The following is a 19,396-nucleotide window of genomic DNA, read 5'->3' as shown; positions in this document are numbered from 1 at the left end:
TTACTTGATTAACATCTCTTGTCCACTGAACTGTGGATCCTCTGTTCACCCTTATCCTCAGGGCTTAGCTGAGCCAGTGCCTGGTATATGATAAAGGCTCAATAAATATTGTTGAATGAATGATGCCCTGAGTTAGAAAGCCATATGGAATCATATTTAAATTGGTTGTATTAAGTCCTGTTTAAGCATAGAGTAGAATTTTCCCAGAGATACCAGTTCAATGAGATGCTAATAAATTTTACAGTAATGAAAGTTACATGACCAAAATAAAATTTGTAAACATCAAATTAAATAGGGTTCTTTACTACCAGACTTCACAAAGCCTTTATGAGAAAATAATATGCCATTTATCAATTCATTTGACTTTTGAAACATTAAAGCAGTATCCTTGTAGCACATGCTTAAGGGTGCAGACTTCCGAGTCAGACTTTCTAGGTTTAAAGCCAAGTCATTTCACTTATTAGTTTTGTGACCATGGACAAATTAGCTAACATCTCTGTAATTTAGTTTTTAAATCTGTCCAGTGAGGATGATAATAGAATCTGCCTGTTATAAAGATTAAGCACTTAGAATGGGTGTAAGATATTGCTTTTAAATTTTTAGCACTGGACAAGTGTTTACAGGAATACTCTTTGGGAAATGCTGAGAGAGAAAGAGCATTGGCCTGGGTAAATGGGACAGCACTATGGCCTTGGACAAGACTCCCAAGCCTCTTTTAGCAACACTTATTTCTATAGTGTATTAAGAGAATTGACTCTAGGTGATCACTACGTCTCTTCCATTTCCAGTTTGCCAAGAGTTAACTATTTTCAAGTTACTAAAAATAACAGAATATGCAAAGGCCACTTAAAATCCATGATGCATTATAAACAGAGGATCAGCTAATTTTCAGCAATTCCTTATACTAATTCATCATTTTGGGACTCTTTAAAGATTGGATTGACATCTTTCTGAATGGATCCTTAAGCTTTGCTTGGGGGAAAAAAAAACTGTTTACTCTTAGAAACAACTGTTTGTGTTGTTTTACATATTTAGGTCGGCTCAATGACATGTATGGAGACTACAAATACACATACTGGGCATGTGGCGTCGTCCTAATTATTTCAGGTATCTATCTCTTCATTGGCATGGGCATCAATTATCGACTTTTGGCAAAAGAACAGAAAGCAAACGAGCAGAAAAAGGAAAGTAAAGAGGAAGAGACCAGTATAGATGTTGCTGGGAAGCCAAATGAAGTTACCAAAGCAGCAGAATCTCCGGACCAGAAAGACACAGATGGAGGGCCCAAGGAGGAGGAAAGTCCAGTCTGAATCCATGGGGCTGAAGGGTAAATTGAGCAGTTCATGACCCAGGATATCTGAAAATATTCTACTGGCCTGTAATCTACCAGTGGTGCTCAATGCAAATAGTAGACATTTGTGTGGAAATCATACCAGTTGTTCATTGATGGGATTTTTGTTTGACTCCTTACCAATAGCCTGAATTTGAGGAGGGAATGATTGGTAGCAAAGGATGGGGGAAAGAAGTAGGTTCTGTTTTGTTTTGTTTTAATCTTAGCTTTTAATAGTGTCATAAAGATTATAATATGTGCCTTAAGTTTTAGTCTTTAGAACTCTAGAGAGCCTTAACTTCTTAAACCATTTTTGCTGAATTCATCTATTTCGAGTGTTGTGTTAAAAGGAAAAATAACAACTAACTTGTTTGAGGCAAATCTAAAATTTAAAATTAATCTTGCTTCATTGTTACATGTAATATATTTCAGACATTTTCACTGGAAGATTTATGAACAGAAATATTGGTTGAAAGTTAGAGATTTTACAAAATGCTGACAAAAATATTTTCCTAGCATCAGTAGATTTCTGGCATATGTTTCTGCTAGCTATATATTTAGGAAATTCAAAGCATAAAACTTTGGCAACATCTTGGCTGTTCTAGACACAGTGTACTTGTCAACCCCTCTCAGGTACCTTTTCTTGGGATGCTTATTAGAAGCCAAGTAAAGTGCTTAAGGTTTGTTTTCATTAAATTAGCTATTTCTGCTCCCCTGTTCAAAGATGCATTTTGAGTGTTTATAGATCACTGCCCTTTTTGAAATCACCTGGTATTATTTTTCTTACTGGAAAAGTTAGTATTAAAATCTACAGAACTACATATTTGTGCCTCCTTGGTAAATACAACACATCTAATTAAATGTAGACAGATATTTCAAACATCAGCTGAATTCACTTAAGTTTTTCCAAAACCTCAGTTAAACTGTGAAGCTATTGGAATTTTTTTTTCCTGGAATTTTTCCCCTTTGATTCACAGTGGTCCCATTTATATCTGCTTCTAGCTTAGTGCTATGTGTGAGATATGTGTGTGTTTGGTGTTTTTGTTTTTTTGTTTTTTTTTTTTTAAGGTTTGCAAATTAAAAAGGGCCAGAAAAATTTGGCACCAGGCAAACGAATAAAGATAGGATTGGGAAAGAAGTTGCTAAGTGTGCTTAGTTTTAATAAGTAATTCCTTCTCTTTTTTCAGAGAAGGCCTTACAGAAAATTGTTGTGCTTAGAATTGCTGGATGCATTTTTACCCTCCACACAAACCTAAAAATTTTGTGACCCCTTTCACTTACCTGAAAAGTAGAGAAATGGATTCAGTATAAGGATAAGGAGGGAAGGTGGACCAGAATGAAAACTGTAAATATTTTTTTAACCTAATATCACTTAAATCGAGGCAGAAAGATACAGACATTCAATGAATTATATTCAATGCATTTAAAATACCACTGTAATTGACAGAGTAAAAGTATAGATACAAAACCTTGTGTAAGAGGCTGACTTTTCCAAATAAACATTTTTTAAGAAAACATTTCTTCTCCCAAATGTCTATTTTCTTGAGGAAAATATTGCTGTGTCTTCATTTTCATTACCAGGTTTCATTTTGGGCCTTGCTAAATTGATTGAATTAAATCCTCCAGCTTTTGAACCTTGATATTTGTGTATATGATTTATTTTCATTTGAATTTCTCCTTTCCTCTTCTTTGCTGTAAGGCAAGGAGGAGGGGAATTTTAAAACCATCTTATTTGAACTGAGAGCATCCAGAGCAGTTAACCTTAAGGAAACAATGAAAAACTCCCTTTGTATGCCTGGGCATCATGGCAGATAGAGGAAGAGTGTTAGAGGAGAAAACTGCTGCTGAGAGTATTGGCAGGCTTGGCCTCAGTTTGGACTCTGTAATTTTCTTTGGACCCAAGTCTGTAACCTCTGCGTACTTCTTCTCTCTTACCTTCTATAAAAATGAGGATTACTGTTGGTGAGGGAATAAGGAATGTAAGTAAAGGAAATCTGAAAAAATAAAAGTAAAGCAAGTATAAATAACTTTTTCCTCATCTTTATTGTTGAAGTCATATCCACATAGCACTTTCCGTTTAATCTCTGTTCAATAGTTGAATCTTGTTAGTGGAGTGAGGGTTTTGTGATGCAGATTAACCACCACTTATCACAAGGGTTCTGAAGTTGCTGTATTCAGAAGCAAAAGTTAGTACCACATGCTGGGCACAGTGGCTCAGGCCTGTAATCCCAACACTTTGGGAGGCTGAGGTGGGCAGATCACTTGAGATCAGGAGTTCAAGACCAGCCCGACCAACATGGTGAAACCTCAGCTCTACTAAAAATATAAAAATTAGCCGGGTGTGGTAGTGGACGCCTGTAGTCCCAGCTACTCGGGAGGCTGAGGCAGGAGAATCGCTTGAACCCAGGAGGTGGAGGTTTCAGTGAGCTGAGATCGCGCCAGTGCACTCCAGCCTGGCAACAGAGCAAGACTCCGTCTCAAAAAAAAAAAAAAAAAAAAAAAAAGACTACCGGATACAGTGTAAACATAACTCATATACAATGAGAAACTAAAAAAAGATGTGTGACTTGCTTTATTGCCATGGTCTTGAACTGCACCTATAGTATCTTTAAGGTATGCCTATAACCGGCTCAAAGCTGGAACTAAATGTTTTATTACCCGTACAACCCTGACATTTTGCCGCTGAATATATAGGCTTAAGGGATTTATTCAGAATCAATTTTGGTAACAGAGCCCACACTAAAGCTCAACATAGGCCTACTCTGAGTCTCTCTTTATTAACAATCAGCTTATCATCTCTGTGATGCAGGTCAACACTGGAAGCAACTGGGCTTTCTGATCTAGTCTGTTGTCCTTTACTCCATTTGAAGATTGACTGCATTTGAAGTTTTATTTCAGTTAACATGGTTTCAGTGGCTGCTTTGGGAAAGTAGATGTACGCATAAAGCACCTGCTTATCTTTTCTTTTTCTCTATAACACAGAGAGAATATAGACAGTTCGTAGGTAGTTGCAGTGCCTGAAAAGGCACGGGGCTGTTCAGGGGTCACGCTCTGAAATAGGCTCCTAAGTCAAAGCAGGAAAAGTCTTCAAGAAACTGAGAGGCTGAACAACTGCAGATCATGGTAACATAAATCATATCATATTACCATGTTATACCCAAATCTATAAACTGTCTTAACTAGCCAACATGAATGCATAGTTTGTACAAAACTATGTATCGTATTAAGGAAAGGATGATGGTAAAATAAAAAGAAAAAAATGGTTAAAAACCATTTAATATTTCTGTATGAACAAATGGCTTATTGTATTAAATCTCAGATTGATAAACTGGATATTGGTTGCATGTTTGTATGAAAAAGCTAAATGTCTGGGTTTTACCCTCCCTAGGAAATGGTTCACAGCATAATAAGTCTAATCATCAGTGCAGGTATGCCCCTCACCACCATCCCCTCACACACACTTTTGCTTAGAAAGATGAGGAAAAGGTTAACAGTAAAGCCTCCCAAAGTGCTGGGATTACAGGCATGAGCCACCGTGCCCCGCCATCATGGTTTGTTTTAATAATCAAGTCAGGCATTGCTTAGAAGACATGAAGAAAGAGGTTAATGATAGACTTTTGTAACTGTGACCATTCTTTCAGTACATGATGGGAAATGACAACTCAAGTTTGCCTGGCTTGCCTAAATGTGAGCAATTGAGCCAAGATGCTTCAGACTTTAAAAGAATCTGGGCGGGGAGGGGTGGCAGTTTACATACATTGTTACCTGAAATGTGTTCCAGCTTTAGGGTTTTAGATTCAGTCACTCTTTTTTCCTCCATTCAGTCTGGGTCATTGTGGCAAAGTCATTCAAATGTAAGCAGTTGGAAGCTGTAGAGCGAAGAGTATCTTTCTCCTCAGCTGAAGAGCATCAGTATATTTACTTTTTGCTTTTACTCTGACTTGCCCAGAGGAGATGTATAGCAAAAGGAATCACATCCTACTGGTTGGTTAACAAGGGAGGCTGCCTAGGTTCAAATTGAGGATCAGACAAATTACTTAGCCTCCCTAAGCATCAGGGTTTTTTTTCTAATAAAAGGTGTTAATAATAATTAGTACCCACCGCTAGGGTTGTCAAGAAGGTTAATAAGTGTATGCACTTGACTATTTAAAAAGTTCATGCTTAGGGGTAAAAAGGCTATGAGAATTCCTGAAGTGGACTCTTACTTGCAGTGGATGGTTTTGGAGTGACTCTTAAGAATATTAGCTAAACAATTAAATACTCCTTTTTGATCAGCTTCTCCTTTTTGTCTTCCCAATGTATTGGTCTTTTTTTGGTAAATGAACGGATGAAACTAACACTTCACCAAATGGTTCATATATACCGGCTTTTCACGTAAGATGGATTTGAATATCAAAGTCCTTAGTCTTTCTACTCTAATACCACAGTCCCCTCCATAGGGAAAAGATGCCGTACTAGTAGCAGATAAACTTTTTTCCCCTCAATAACTAATGATTCTATAAGAGAAGAAATAAAACTAGTAAATAATCTTGGCTAAAGTCCTTTATCCCTAGCAATGTATTTAAATGCAAATGGAAAGGTTGATGAAATATCTATTTTCCCTACTACATCATGACAGTTTAAATGATAAATTATTACCTATTGGTGGCTGAGTAAATTGGTATAACATTTTGGGAAGGCAATATTGTAAGATGTATCAAGCACGAGGAACTCGTTTTTCCTAAAAATTTCAGATTTTGAAATTTTTCTAAGAAAGTTTTTGCCTGTCTTTGAAATTGTCAATTTCTTTGAAAAATTCTTACGTTGGGTATCAGTGTTTTTTTTTGTTTTTTGTTTTTGTTTTTGTTTTGTTTTGTTTTGTTTTGTTTTGTTTGGAGACAGGGTCTCACTCTGTTGCCCAGGCTGGAATGAGGTGGCACTATCAGTCACTGCTCACTGCAGCCTCAACCTTTCAGGGTCAAGCAATCCACCCACTTCAGCCTCCCAAGTAGCTGGGATTAACTATAACTTTTTTGTGTGTGTGAGATGGTGTCTTGCTCTGTCACCCAGGCTGGAGTGCAGTGGCGCAATCTCAGCTCTCTGCCTCCCGGGTTCAAGCAATTGTCCTTTCTCAGCCTCCTGAGTACCTGGGATTACAGGCACATGCCACCACACCCAGCTAATTTTGTATTTTTTTAGTAGAGAAAGGATTTCACCATGTTGGCCAGGCTGATCTCGAACTCCTGACCTCATAACTATAACTTTTATAGAGACTGGATCTTACTGTGTTGCTTAGGCTGGTCTCCAACTCTTGAATTCAAGCAATCCTCCTGCCTGGGCCTCCCAAAGTGTTGGGATTGCAGACATGAGCCACTGCACCTGGCCTTAATAAGTAGTTAGATGGATATGGTTATGAAGTCCCTTTGATACAAAAACGGCATAATATTAAGTGAAAAAACACAAACTAGGCCTGATGTGGTGGCTCACGCCTGTAATTCCAGCTCTTTGGGAGGCCAAGGCAGGCAGATCACCTGAGGTCAGGAGTTCCAGACCAGCCTGACCAACATGGAGAAACCCTGTCTCTATAAAAATACAAAATTAGCCGGGTGTGGTGGTGCATGCCTGTAATCCCAGCTACTCAGAGGGCTGGGGCAGGAGAATCGCTTGAACCCGGGAGGTGGAGGTTGTGGTAAGCCAAGATCATGCCATTGCACTCCAGCCTGGGCAACAAGAGTGAAACTCTGTCTCAAAAAAAAAAAAAAACCTAGTATGATATGTGTAGATATATATGCCTAATACATACATACACAAGCACAGGGAAAAAGAAAATGCACATATATACCAATCATAATTTTGTTAGTGTGGTAAAATTAGGTGACTGTTTTCTATGTTTTTTCCATATTCAGAATTTTCTTAATACGATGGTTACTTTTATACTAAAAGAAAACAACATACCATATACTACTGGTTTACAGAAAGAAAAAACTATGCATGTGATCTAGAAGAGTTCTAGCAAGAGACACTTGATTCCTAAGAAAATCAAGCTAATTGTTATAAGCACATTACTTTTTCTGCTTCTCCAAGAGTTGCATTCTGGTGAAAGAGAGGTGAGTGTGACATGGAACTCAAGAGCACAATAGTCTTGCATCACTATTTTGCTGGTGCTGGACCAAAGCTGTGAAGTGTAGAGTCCACAGGCCACCAGTGCTGGCCACCTGTGCCTTCTTCTTGCAGGCAGTGCTCTTGGAGACAGCATTCCTGTGGTTCCTTTCTAATCATCATTCAGCTGCAAGTATTTACCTCAGGAAGCCAGAGTGTTCAGCTCTCAGCCGCTCACCCACATCACAGTGTTGTGTTGTTCTTGAGCGTTATCTTATTGAGATCAGCATCAGAAAAAAGAAAATACAAGGCCAGCCATGGTGGCTCTTGTCTGTAATCCCAGCACTTTGGGAGGCCAAGGCGGGCGGATCACCCGAGATCGGGAGTTCGAGACCAGCCTGACCAACATTCAGAAACCCCATCTCTACTAAAAATACAAAATTAGTCAGGCATGGTGGCGCATGCCTATAATCCCAGCTACTAGGGAGGCTGAGGCAGGAGAATCGCTTGAACCCAGGAGGCAGAGGTTGTGGTGAGATCACGCCATTCCACTCCAGCCTGGGCAACAAGAGTGAAACTCCATCGCAAAAAAAAAAAAAGAAAAGAAAAAGAAAAAATATAGTGATAGACAAAAAGAGGTGGAATTTGCTTGTCCACGTGGCTATCGTTTGTTCATTCACCAACAGATATTTATTGGACACTTAGTATATCCCAGGCATTGTTCCAGACTTTGAGAATCCAGCAGTGAATAAAACAAATGATATGTTTTCACAAGTATCTTACATTCTAGTAGGGAAAAATAGATGATGAACAGTAAGTTATTAAGAAAACAGTAGTTTTCAGAATAGAGCAATGGATATAAAATCAGCCTTCATTCATTCACCCTAACTATTTTTTGTAGCATGTATGTTTTGTGCCTGGCTCCATTAGCTGGATAGAGGGCATAATGCAGTGAACAAAATATAGTTCCTAGCACCCACAGCTTCTAGTGTAGTGGGGAAGATATGTAGTAACTTCTGTGGTGTGGTAACACATGGCAAAACCTAATCCAATCTTGGGAGAGCATAAAAAATCAAAAATTATGTTTTTGAGCAAGTTAATCTATCTGATCTTTGATAAACATGATAAAATTATTTTGAGGATTACATGTGAAAGTACACAGCACACCATTGAGCACATAGTAACATTAATATATTAAGTGCATAGTCATTGTAAAAATCTGAATCTCCTTGAACATTCTGCAATGCAGTGTAGCAAGTATCAGTTAGGTCATCAACCAGAACAACAATGAATAAAGAACAGCTAGTGATTGTATAGCTCATCCAATTTTACAAAGGCCTTTCAAATATATTCTATCATCTGATCCTGCAAAATCCTAGGGAAGTGAGTATAATTAAAGATACTGACTCTTTATCTGGGCCTTCATCTTGGCGGGTTATCCTCCCCTGCTGTCAGGGAGCACAAAGCGGGACTGCAGACAGCTTAACTGCTAGAGCTGAAGGTTGTGCTGGATGGAAGCTTTGGAATCATACAAGAATGCAAGAGACCAAATCCTGGGTGAACCTGAGGGGGAATAATGGCTAAACCAATCCCTGAGTTCTGCACCAAAATGTGTAAAATGGTTCCTGTCCCCACAAATTTACAATCTGATTCTGTCCCTTGGCTTCAAAATGCATAATGTGATGTTTTTTTCACTTGTGGATTTCCTTTCCTAATATGCTTTACTGATTCCAGAATTAAAACTTTGCATTTCCTGAGCTTACTCTGGCCAGATCCCAAGAGGAAGTGGCCAGAAGCCATTAAGAGGGCCAGGAGGGGAACTGGACCGGGATTAAAAGTCACCTGGTGTGCTGACAATCTGTATGTGCGTAATTGTCAACAGAAGGTTTAAATGGTTATAGTCTTTGTGATTTATCTTTCTTTTCCTTTCTCAACACCCTTTTTTGTCTCCCGCTTCTAACCACCTTGAGGCCAAAAAAGAAAAAAAAAAAAGGCCTGGGTACTTTGGTCAGGCTCTATTTGTATATGCTTTTTAGAATGGGTGTTGTACAAACTTGATATCAATGCTTTTCGCTTTAAATTTCAAGTACTATCTCAGTTCTTACATGCTAAGAATGAGTAACCAGGCCTGCAGTAGGTTTTCTGAGCTAGGTACTTTGATGGGGCTCTCCCTGTGCACTAGCCCCTCCTTCCCACCCTTTCCTACCCCCGACATGCCACAGTTGCCAAATCCTGTAGATTCAGCTAGCTTACTGTTTCTCCTTTCCATCCCCTCCTCTTCGTTTTTCTTGCTATTGGCTTAGTTTCCAACAGCTTCCCTCTTTTCTCACTCACCACTTCGGATCGAGCCTCAACAGTGCTGCCAAAATAATTTTTCTAGAAGGGCCAAATTTCTCCATGTTTTGTTTTGTTTTAACAACAATTTAAAAAAAGCCTATACCTCTTTTATAACTACAAACAAAAGCAATAAAGATAAAAATAATACAACTCAATCTAATCATGTCTTTTTTTTCTGCTTAAAATACTGTAGTTTGAGGATAAAGTCCAAACTCCTTGGCTTCTGGCCTCACAGAGCTCTCCGTGATTTCCTTCCTCTGTGAAGGAAACTCCTGAAGTTTCCTTCAGCCTTATCTCTTACCACTCCTCAGCCCACACCCTGCTCTCCAGGCCAACTGCATTTCTTAGGGCTGACCTGTACCTGAAAGCCCCGCCCTTCTTTTCCCTCTGCACCAACACCTTATCCTCCGAAATTTGGAAGCCTTACCTGATCCCACAATTTCATTTCAATTGCCCTCTTGACTGAAGTGCAGTTACAATGCAAGTCTTTCAAATCTCAGGTCTCAAATCTCAGGCCACTTACTAGCTCTGGGTCCTTAGGAAAGTTACTTAATCTCTAGGCCTTGGTTTCCAGATCTGTAAAATGGAACTAATAATAGAACTTAACTTACAGGGTCGCCATGATGATTAAATCTATAAAACCCTTAGCATAGTGCCTGACATGGAATAAATGCTCACTGTGTATTAATTTTGCTTACTCTTTCACAGATACCACTATTAAAGAATAGTTTTCAAAATGATAAAAGCATAACTCACACAGAGAATGAACATACATTTATTTAAATCATGAATTAAGGAGGAAACTAGTAGGATTTTATAACTGTTTAAAATGGAATTTTACTTATAAAACTGCCTTTGCCAAATTATGACTGAGACAGCCAAAGAGATCTAACTTAACAGACTCCATCTTGCTTCTAACCTCCAAGCTGTCCTTGTTCATTCCTGGGTATAGGCCGAACTAACTTTGGGAGAAGCTTAGTTTATAGTTTAAACAAAGACAGCTCTTTCCCAAAGCAGACCTCCTTTTTGCCTGGGGACTAGATTGCCTTTGTAGGACTAACATTAGCCACAAGATTAGAAATTGTGGTTTAGGAGTCATGCAGCTGGAGGCTACAAGATTCTGACCCTTCCTAAACTGCTCCTAAGATCAGTGCTTGAGATATTTTGCAGACTCGGCACTTGATGGATCATCTGGCACCACCCAATTGAAAAACTGGCTCAACTGATCTTGTAGCCCCCACCCAGGAAGTGACTCAGTGCAAGAAGACAGCTCCGACTCCCTACGATTTCATCTCTGACAAATCAGCACTCCTGGCTCACTGGCTTTCCCCCACCCACCAAGTTATCGTTAAAAATTCTGCTCCCTGAATACTTGGGGAGACTGATTTGAGTAATAATAAAACTCTGGTCTCCAACACAGCTGGCTCTGTGTAAATTACTCTTTCTCTATTGCAATTCCTCTGTCTTGATGAATGCTCTGTCTAGGCAGAGGGCAAGGTGAACCCCTTGGGCGGTTTGTTCTGTACTGGACAAAATGTATTTAGTTGCATTGCCATGAACAGAGTTGTTTGCATCCTGCATCCAGCTCTAGACAGAAAACATCTACACCATCATCAGGCCTCCCCATTAACCTTCATTTCTACAGAGTTATAAAACAGTCCAGCACTTTTGTAGGGTAGAATTGTAACACACATCATTCCATTGAAAGACACCCAGTCATTACTTGCCCATTTAAAAGTCTTTCACAATTTTTCCTAGCACTGCAGTGCATTGTACATGTTAGTTTGCTCTTCTAAATCCCTACGAAACTGTGAACTTCTTGAGATGAGAGGGAACCACACACAAAGTATGCCATGTGATTTTAGGGCCTGGGGAAGCTTCTGCAGGAAGTGGCATTTCAACCAGGTAGAGAAAAATAGTGCTGCATTTCTCCTGGAGAAAAGCATCCAGAGAAAGCTATGTAGGAACCATGGTAGAACTGACAGCCAAGCATTGTTAAACACAGACTGTGTGCCAGGCCCTGGGCTAGGTTAAGATAAAAAGCTGAATAAAGCCTGGTCTGTATTTTTAAGAAGCTTTAAATCTGTTGGTGGCATGAAAAGGAAATCAGTGCTTACAACATAGCATGATGAGGACCCTAAAAGTCCACAGGCCAAATTTCGGAGACTGAAGTGAACAAAGGCAGAGTGTTTCCCAAGCCCAAGTCTGATGAAGGGCAGAAAACAGAGGAGATCCCAGTGGGCCTGTGGGCTACTGAATAGGAAAAGCAAATTATTTTTCTCTATACTCACACTGAACATAGAACACTCCTGTGATCAAATGTGTAGGGATTTTTCTCCACATCAAGCAATTCTCCAATTTTCTGCAGACACCGAGAGTCTTACAACTAAACTCAATTCTGATACTATCTACCTAGGTATAGTGTCAGATCACACAGATTAAGGACTCAGTTCCAGGCCAGGCGTGGTGGCTCACGCCTGTAATCCAATCACTTTGGAAGGCCAAGGTGGGTGGATCATCTGAGCTCAGGAGTTCCAGACCAGCCTGGGCAACATGGTGAAACCCCATCTCTACTAAAAATACAAAAAATTAGCCGGGCATGGTGGCGCACGCCTGTAATCTCAAATACTTGGGAGGCTGAGGCAGGAGAGTTGCTTGAACCCAGGAGGTGGAGGTTGCAGTGAGCCAAGATTGCGCCACTCCACTCAAGCCTAGGTGACAAAGTGAGACCCTGTCTCAAAAAAAAAAAAAAAAAGACTCAGTTCCACACGTTCACACTCCAACTGCAAATAGTAGACCTTCATGTTACTCACAACTTCTGTCCAACTTAGCTACAAATTAGAGGTTTTACAAATTAGACCCTTTCTTGGGTTCAATCACTTGCTAGAGTGGCTCACAGAATTAAGGGAAATGCTTTACTTACATTTACCCATTTATTGTAAAGGTGTAAAATAAAATGTATGGGAAGCCATTGTTTTGGACTGAGCTCCTGCACTAGGCCCCAACAAAACAAATTAAAATGGAGTCACTTATGCTAAGTGTCATGCAATCAAGTTGAAACTTTAAGGAAGCAAGAAAATTCCCCATTAGACCAATTTTTCCTAAAAACAGAAGATTCATAGCAACCAGTCTGAAGAGGCCCAGTCAACCTGAACCAGCATGTTAAGGAAGTCTCCTCCTTTAACCCTTACAAGGAAAGTAACCTGAAGTAACCTGATGTTAACAATCTGCTTTTGGTATTATTGTTTCCTCACTCCTGCTCTAGCTATCTTATAAAAACCAACTGTTAGGCTGGGCATGGTGGCTCACACCTGTAATCCCAGCATTTTAGGAAGCCGAGGCGGGCAGATCATGAGGTCAAGAGATTGAGAGACCATCCTGGCCAACATGGTGAAACCCCATCTCTACTAAAAATACAAAAATTAGCTGGGCATGGTGGCACGTGCCTGTAGTCCCAGCTACTCAGGAGGCTGAGGCAGGAGAATCACTTGAACCCGGGAGGTGGAGGTTGCAGTGAGCCAAGATCATACCACTAACACTCCAGCCTGGTGACAGAGCAAGACTCCATCTCAAAAAAAAAAAAAAAAAAAACAAAAACAAAAACTGGTTTGCCATCCTAGCAGAGCACTTACCTATTTTTAGATGAGATGCTGTTTGATTTATGAATTGCTAATAAAAACCAACTCGATCTTTAGACTAAATTTATTGAAATTTTCTAACAGTTCTGGTGAACATGAAAGGACTTGAAGAAGGCTGATGACCCTGAGGCCACTGAAGGATGCAGATAAGGTGCTCCTTACTCCTTTAGAGTCCCCTGACTTCCTCACAGTGCTCCCAATGTCATGAGTAAGTTCCTACCAGGGCCAACTCTTTGTATTTGAGCTCCTGATTATTTTGGCTTTTGGGTGCCAAAGGTTGTGTTGTAGCAGAGTAAATGATCTTTGGGACTTTTGGTGATTGTTGCATCGCTACCAAAGAATCACACTTTTAAAGATAACTGACAGTGATTGCAGCAAATGGCAGTTACTGCAGGGGGTGTTAGACACTATTTTTCAGAAATTCACAGGGATTTGGGTTATCTCCTCTTTGTTTCTTTTTCTTGCACACTAAGGTAGGGAAAGATCATTGGCTATGTTGGCTAAGGAATCTTGGTGCCAAACCACAACTTAATTGACAGGTATGGGAAGGGCACCCAAAAGCTGTTAGATCACCTATCACCTAAATATGTAACTACTGAAAGGATAAGCTGGCCAGGCATTGTGGCTCACATCTGTAATCCCAGCACTTCGGGAGGGTGATGTGGGTGAATCACCTGAGGTCAGGAGTTGGGGACCAGCCTGACCAACATGGAGAAACCCCGTCCCTACTAAAAATACAAAATTAGCTGGGTGTGGTGGCGCATGCCTGTAATCCCAGCTACTTGGGAGGCTGAGGCAGGAGAATCCCTTGAACCCAGGAGGCAGACGTTGTGGTGAGCCGAGATCGCGCCATTGCACTCCGTCCTGGGCAACAAGAGCAAAACTCAGTCTCAAAAAAAAAAAAAGAAAGAAAGAAAGAAAGAAAGAAAAAGAAAGGATAAGGTTTAGTTTGACGCTAGGTTACCCATGAGCCTTAAGAAAATTTCCTTGCAAAAAGAAACACTGAAAACATCACACGACCCAACCTCTTGACATTTCCCTCTTAGGCTTTTATCTCAGCTCTCATATTGAGAAAATAGGCATCTCATCTGAGAAACCCAATATGCTAAACAACTTAGGACTCCACCTTCCAGTATGCCTGCGTTTTACTTTTTATTTTTATTTATTTATTTTTTTGAGAGGAGTCTTGCTCTGTCACTCAGGCTGGAGTGTAATGGCACAATCTCAGCTCACGGCAACCTCCGCCTCCTGGGTTCAAGCGATTCTCCTGCCTCAGCCTCCCGAGTAGCTGGGATTATAGGAATTCGCCACCATGCCCAGCTAATTTTGTATTTTTAGTAGAGACGGGGTTTCTCCATGTTGGTCAGGCTTGTCTTGAACTTTCGACCTCAGGTGATCTGCCTGCCTCAGCCTCCCAAAGTGCTGGGATTACAGGCTTGAGCCACCACACCCGTGCCTGCCTTTTTATGTACAAAAATTTTCATCTTGGAAGCTGTAAATTCTAACAAAAATGGTGATTTTTTTTTTCAGAGTCTCATTCTGTCACCCAAGCTGGAGTGCAGTAGCATGATAATGGCTCACTGCAGCCTTGACTTCCAAGACTTAAGTGATTCCTTCCACCTCAGCCTTTTGAGTAGCTAGGACCACAAGTGCACATCACCACACCTGGCTAATTTAAAAACATTTTTGTAGAGATGGAGTCCCACTGCATTGCTCGGGCTGGTCTCGAATTCCTGGGCTCAAGCAATCCTCCTGCCTCAGCCTCCCAGAGTGCTGGGATTATAGGCATGAACAACTGTGCCTGGCCAAAAAGTGGTGAAATTTTATCAAAGACAATTTAGAATTACAGGGGACATTATAGAGAACATTCCAGATGGACAAGATTATCCATCTAAGAAGCACATTTGAAAGTAAGGGCTCTCAAATTAGACAAACAGATGAGATGCCTATTTTCGATACACAGAAGCCTCTAACCAGATTTTAGGTTTCAAAAAATTGCTTCTCTAAAGGTCTCCTTTAAAAAGGCAAATGAAAAGCTTTAAGCAACAAACTGATAAGAAAAATCGAATCTGCTAACCTGTTTACTTAGTGACCATCCCACCCTGATGGTTTAAAAGAAAGCCAGAAAAACTGTTTATAAAAGTTAAGCCCTCAAGTCAGTCAAGTTTGCTTCTTTAACCACCTTTATGCCCTAGTCAAATTATTAAGCTCAGAGCTATGTATGCTGAGCCCAGACACAGAAAATGCTTTGTCTGCCTTATTTGTCAATGAGCTCCACCCTGAACTCAATAATCTGGTTAAAAGCAAAAGCTAAATTGGAAAGTTCCTAACTAAATTAGTAAACTCAACACTTCAGGATCTTTGTTAAGAAGCTTGGTTTTGGCCGGGAGGATGGAGTTCAGCGGGCAGCGGAGCTGTCTCAGTCTTTGCCGCCGCGCCGGCGAGCGCCGCCCGGGAGGCAGCGGCTGGAGGAGCGGACGGGCCCCGCGGGGCCCGAGGGCAAGGAGCAGCCGCCTGCCTTGGCCTCCCAAAGTGCCGAGATTGCAGCCTCTGCCCGGCTGCCACCCCGTCTGGGAAGTGAGGAGTGTCTCTGCCTGGCCGCCCATCGTCTGGGATGTGAGGAGCCCCTCTGCCTGGCTGCCCAGTCTGGAAAGTGAGGAGCGTCTCCGCCCGGCCGCCATCCCATCTAGGAAGTGAGGAGCGCCTCTTCCCAGCCGCCATCACATCTAGGAAGTGAGGAGCGTCTCTGCCCGGCCGCCCATCGTCTGAGATGTGGGGAGCGCCTCTGCCCCGCCGCCCCATCTGGGATGTGAGGAGCGCCTCTGCCCGGCCGAGACCCCGTCTGGGAGGTGAGGAGCGTCTCTGCCCGGCCGCCCCGTCTGAGAAGTGAGGAGACCCTCTGCCTGGCAACCACCCCGTCTGAGAAGTGAGGAGCCCCTCCGCCCGGCAGCTGCCCCGTCTGAGAAGTGAGGAGCCTCTCCGCCCGGCAGCCACCCCATCTGGGAAGTGAGGAGCGTCTCCGCCCGGCAGCCACCCCGTCCGGGAGGGAGGTGGGGGGGGTCAGCCCCCCGCCCGGCCAGCCGCCCCATCCGGGAGGGAGGTAGGGGGTCAGCCCCCCCGCCCGGCCAGCCGTGCCATCCGGGAGGGAGGTGGGGGGGTCAGCCCCCCGCCTGGCCAGCCGCCCCGTCCGGGAGGTGAGGGGCGCCTCTGCCCGGCCGCCCCTACTGGGAAGTGAGGAGCCCCTCAGCCCGGCCAGCCACCCCGTCCGGGAGGGAGGTGGGGGGGTCAGCCCCCCGCCTGGCCAGCCGCCCCGTCCGGGAGGGAGGTGGGGGGGTCAGCCCCCCGCCTGGCCAGCCGCCCCGTCCGGGAGGGAGGTGGGGGGGTCAGCCCTCCGCCCGGCCAGCCGCCCCGTCAGGGAGGTGAGGGGCGCCTCTGCCCGGCCGCCCCTACTGGGAAGTGAGGAGCCCCTCTGCCCGGCCAGCCGCCCCGTCCAGGAGGGAGGTTGGGGGGTCAGCCCCCCGCCCGGCCAGCCGCCCCGTCCGGGAGGGAGGTGGGGGGGGTCAGCCCCCCTGCCCGGCCAGCCGCCCCGTCCGGGAGGTGAGGGGCGCCTCTGCCCAGCCGCCCCTACTGGGAAGTGAGGAGCCCCTCTGCCTGGCCACCACCCCGTCTGGGAGGTGTGCCCAACAGCTCATTGAGAACGGGCCAGGATGACAATGGCAGCTTTGTGGAATAGAAAGGCGGGAAAGGTGGGGAAAAGATTGAGAAATCGGATGGTTGCCGTGTCTGTGTAGAAAGAAGTAGACATGGGAGACTTTTCATTTTGTTCTGCACTAAGAAAAATTCCTCTGCCTTGGGATCCTGTTGATCTGTGACCTTACCCCCAACCCTGTGCTCTCTGAAACGTGCTGTGTCCACTCAGGGTTAAATGGATTAAGGGCGGTGCAAGATGTGCTTTGTTAAACAGATGCTTGAAGGCAGCATGCTCGTTAAGAGTCATCACCAATCCCTAATCTCAAGTAATCAGGGACACAAACACTGCAGAAGGCCGCAGGGTCCTCTGCCTAGGAAAACCAGAGACCTTTGTTCACTTGTTTATCTGCTGACCTTCCCTCCACTATTGTCCCATGACCCTGCCAAATCCCCCTCTGTGAGAAACACCCAAGAATTATCAATAAATAAATTAAAAAAAAAAAATGTAAAAAAAAAAAAAAAAAAAAAAGAAAAGACAAAATAAAATGAAATAGAATGAAAAAAAAAAAAAGAAGCTTGGTTTTTCTTTTTAAAAAAGGAGGAGAAACTATTTGGAAACTGGCAACCAAAAAATATTGTCTTTTCCACAAATTTTATTTTTAAAATATGCTTTAGCCGTGTGAGCAAGTAGCCTTAACTTGTCCGATTTTTGTCAGAAGCACAATTTGAATAAAAATATAAGTGGAGATAAGCCAATTGTATTACTGATTCGTGACTAAAATTTTAAAATAAAAGCTATAAGATCTTCGTATCCATCTTAATGTATATTTAGTTATGTATGATTTGTATATTTGATATTTTTTCTCCCTCCAGATGGTATTTCTAAACTAATTTATAAAATCCCCTAAAGGAGTTCTATTCAAACTTGAGCTGAGTTAAATGAGCACTAATATAAATGAAATATCCCTAAAACTCTCAGAAATTTAGGAAATAGCCCAACTGCCTTTTAATTCATATGATATGGGGTAATCTTTGGTAAGTAAAGCTAGTTTTTAAATGGTTGATAAAATAAAAATGAAACTGTTTTAAGAACTGTTTGTTTTTGCCTAGATTTCCTAGTCAAACAAGTTTATATTGTCTCTGATAGATATTTAAGACCATAAGACTATAAATTCAACCTATAAGTGAAATGCACTGTAAAAATAATGGCTTGATGGCAGGTCAATCATGAAAAGTAAAATTTTTTTTTAAAATACAAGGAAGAATCATGTTTTTCAGTTTCTTTGCTTCTGTGATATTTTTAGTACTTTTCTATTTGTCAACAACCATAAAATAACTTCAGATAATAGCCAGCACAGCCTGGCTCAGTGGCTCATGCCTGTAATCCCAGCACTGTGGGAGGCCGAGGTGGGTGGATCACCTGAGGTCAGGAGTTTGAGACCAGCCTGGCAAATGTGGTGAAACCCTGTCTCTACTAAAAATACAAAAATTAGCTTGAACTTGGGAGCGGAGGCTGCAATGAGCCGACATAGTACCACTGTACTCCATCTTGGGTGAGACAGTGATACTCCTCTGTCTCAAAAAAAAAAAAATTGTAGAAGTGGTTTCCTGCCCAGATCCTGACTGACAGTAGGTTTGAGGACACAGGCCAAGAGAAGCAGTACCACAGGCTGTGCTTCTGATCCAGCGAGGTGCCCATTGCTGCTCCCAATGGGGCTAGAGACTCACCATTGTTCCTGCGCAGCTAAGTGCCTAGGTTCGTCCTGATGGAGCTGAACACTAGTTGCTGGGTTCCACAGTTCTCTTCCGTGACTCACGACTTCTAATAGAGCTGTAACACTCACTACATGGCCCAAGGTTCCATTCCTTGGAATCTGGGAGGCCAAGAACTCCAGGTCAGAGAAGAAAAGGCTTGCCGCCATCTTGGGAGCAGCCCGCCACCATCTTGGGAGCTCTAAGAACAAGGACCCACCAGTAACACACCCACTTTGGCCTCCCAGAGTGCTGGGATTACAAGCATGAGCCACCGCACTTAGCCCACAGGTTGTTTTAGAATGAAGAAATTGATAAAGGCAAAAACTGAATAGACAGAAAGTTGAAAAGAGCAAGAGAGCAAAAGTGAGAATCTGATGTGTCAAATCAGCTGAAATTGAATGAATTTATTCTAGGAGTGTGTCCGAAATTGGTGGGTTCTTGGTCTCACTGACTTCAAGAATGAAGCCACGGACCCTCACGGTGAGTGTTACAGTTCTTAAAGATGGTGTGTCCGGAGTTTGTTCCTTCTGATGTTCAGATGTGTTCGGAGTTTCTTTCTTCCGGTGGG

The 19,396-nt window shown here is 42.5% G+C and overlaps 1 protein-coding gene and 1 long non-coding RNA gene across 4 annotated transcripts in view, besides 8 other annotated features; one reads left to right on the top strand and one right to left on the bottom strand.

Annotated features, from left to right (window-relative positions):
* The window catches only part of SLC16A1 (solute carrier family 16 member 1), a 44,350-nt gene extending 40,996 nt beyond the window's left edge, over positions 1-3,354 (top strand). For all 3 annotated transcript variants that reach the window (NM_003051.4, NM_001166496.2, XM_047428789.1), the window contains exon 5: positions 1,036-3,354. In NM_003051.4, coding sequence (NP_003042.3) covers positions 1,036-1,310 — 275 coding nt within the window. In that variant the 3' untranslated portion in view covers positions 1,311-3,354. The remainder of the gene's footprint in view (positions 1-1,035) is intronic.
* On the bottom strand, positions 2,735-19,031 carry LOC124904342 (uncharacterized). The gene is made up of 2 exons (XR_007066442.1): positions 18,802-19,031; positions 2,735-5,336 (listed from the first exon to the last, which is right to left on the bottom strand). It is a non-coding gene; the product is annotated as an uncharacterized LOC124904342 (long non-coding RNA).
* Positions 2,915-3,525: an enhancer, noted in NCBI's record as "OCT4-NANOG-H3K27ac-H3K4me1 hESC enhancer chr1:113454298-113454908 (GRCh37/hg19 assembly coordinates)". NCBI's record gives its function as "activates a minimal SCP1, AML or CMV promoter by ChIP-STARR-seq in naive and primed H9 embryonic stem cells {active_cell/tissue: H9 hESC(naive and primed)}" and the evidence as "EXISTENCE:reporter gene assay evidence [ECO:0000049][PMID:30033119]".
* Positions 3,526-4,137: an enhancer, noted in NCBI's record as "OCT4-NANOG-H3K27ac-H3K4me1 hESC enhancer chr1:113453686-113454297 (GRCh37/hg19 assembly coordinates)". NCBI's record gives its function as "activates a minimal SCP1, AML or CMV promoter by ChIP-STARR-seq in naive and primed H9 embryonic stem cells {active_cell/tissue: H9 hESC(naive and primed)}" and the evidence as "EXISTENCE:reporter gene assay evidence [ECO:0000049][PMID:30033119]".
* Positions 8,478-9,037: an enhancer, noted in NCBI's record as "NANOG-H3K27ac-H3K4me1 hESC enhancer chr1:113448786-113449345 (GRCh37/hg19 assembly coordinates)". NCBI's record gives its function as "activates a minimal SCP1, AML or CMV promoter by ChIP-STARR-seq in naive H9 embryonic stem cells {active_cell/tissue: H9 hESC(naive)}" and the evidence as "EXISTENCE:reporter gene assay evidence [ECO:0000049][PMID:30033119]".
* Positions 10,840-11,134: an enhancer, noted in NCBI's record as "tiled region #4510; K562 Activating DNase matched - State 5:Enh, and HepG2 Activating non-DNase unmatched - State 23:Low". NCBI's record gives its function as "activates a minimal TATA promoter and a strong SV40 promoter by Sharpr-MPRA in K562 cells, with weaker activity in HepG2 cells {active_cell/tissue: K562 | HepG2}" and the evidence as "EXISTENCE:reporter gene assay evidence [ECO:0000049][PMID:27701403]".
* Positions 10,840-11,972: a biological region, named in NCBI's record as "Sharpr-MPRA regulatory region 4510".
* Positions 11,041-11,972: an enhancer, noted in NCBI's record as "H3K27ac-H3K4me1 hESC enhancer chr1:113445851-113446782 (GRCh37/hg19 assembly coordinates)". NCBI's record gives its function as "activates a minimal SCP1, AML or CMV promoter by ChIP-STARR-seq in primed H9 embryonic stem cells {active_cell/tissue: H9 hESC(primed)}" and the evidence as "EXISTENCE:reporter gene assay evidence [ECO:0000049][PMID:30033119]".
* Positions 11,973-12,906: an enhancer, noted in NCBI's record as "H3K27ac-H3K4me1 hESC enhancer chr1:113444917-113445850 (GRCh37/hg19 assembly coordinates)". NCBI's record gives its function as "activates a minimal SCP1, AML or CMV promoter by ChIP-STARR-seq in primed H9 embryonic stem cells {active_cell/tissue: H9 hESC(primed)}" and the evidence as "EXISTENCE:reporter gene assay evidence [ECO:0000049][PMID:30033119]".
* Positions 17,074-17,617: an enhancer, noted in NCBI's record as "NANOG-H3K27ac hESC enhancer chr1:113440206-113440749 (GRCh37/hg19 assembly coordinates)". NCBI's record gives its function as "activates a minimal SCP1, AML or CMV promoter by ChIP-STARR-seq in naive H9 embryonic stem cells {active_cell/tissue: H9 hESC(naive)}" and the evidence as "EXISTENCE:reporter gene assay evidence [ECO:0000049][PMID:30033119]".
* Positions 19,032-19,396: the final 365 nt, after the last annotated feature.

Source organism: Homo sapiens, chromosome 1, assembly GCF_000001405.40.
Source record: "Homo sapiens chromosome 1, GRCh38.p14 Primary Assembly".
Classification (NCBI taxonomy): domain Eukaryota; kingdom Metazoa; phylum Chordata; class Mammalia; order Primates; family Hominidae; genus Homo; species Homo sapiens.
Note: the sequence above shows the minus strand (reverse complement) of the source record. Positions and strands in the feature narration are given on the sequence as shown.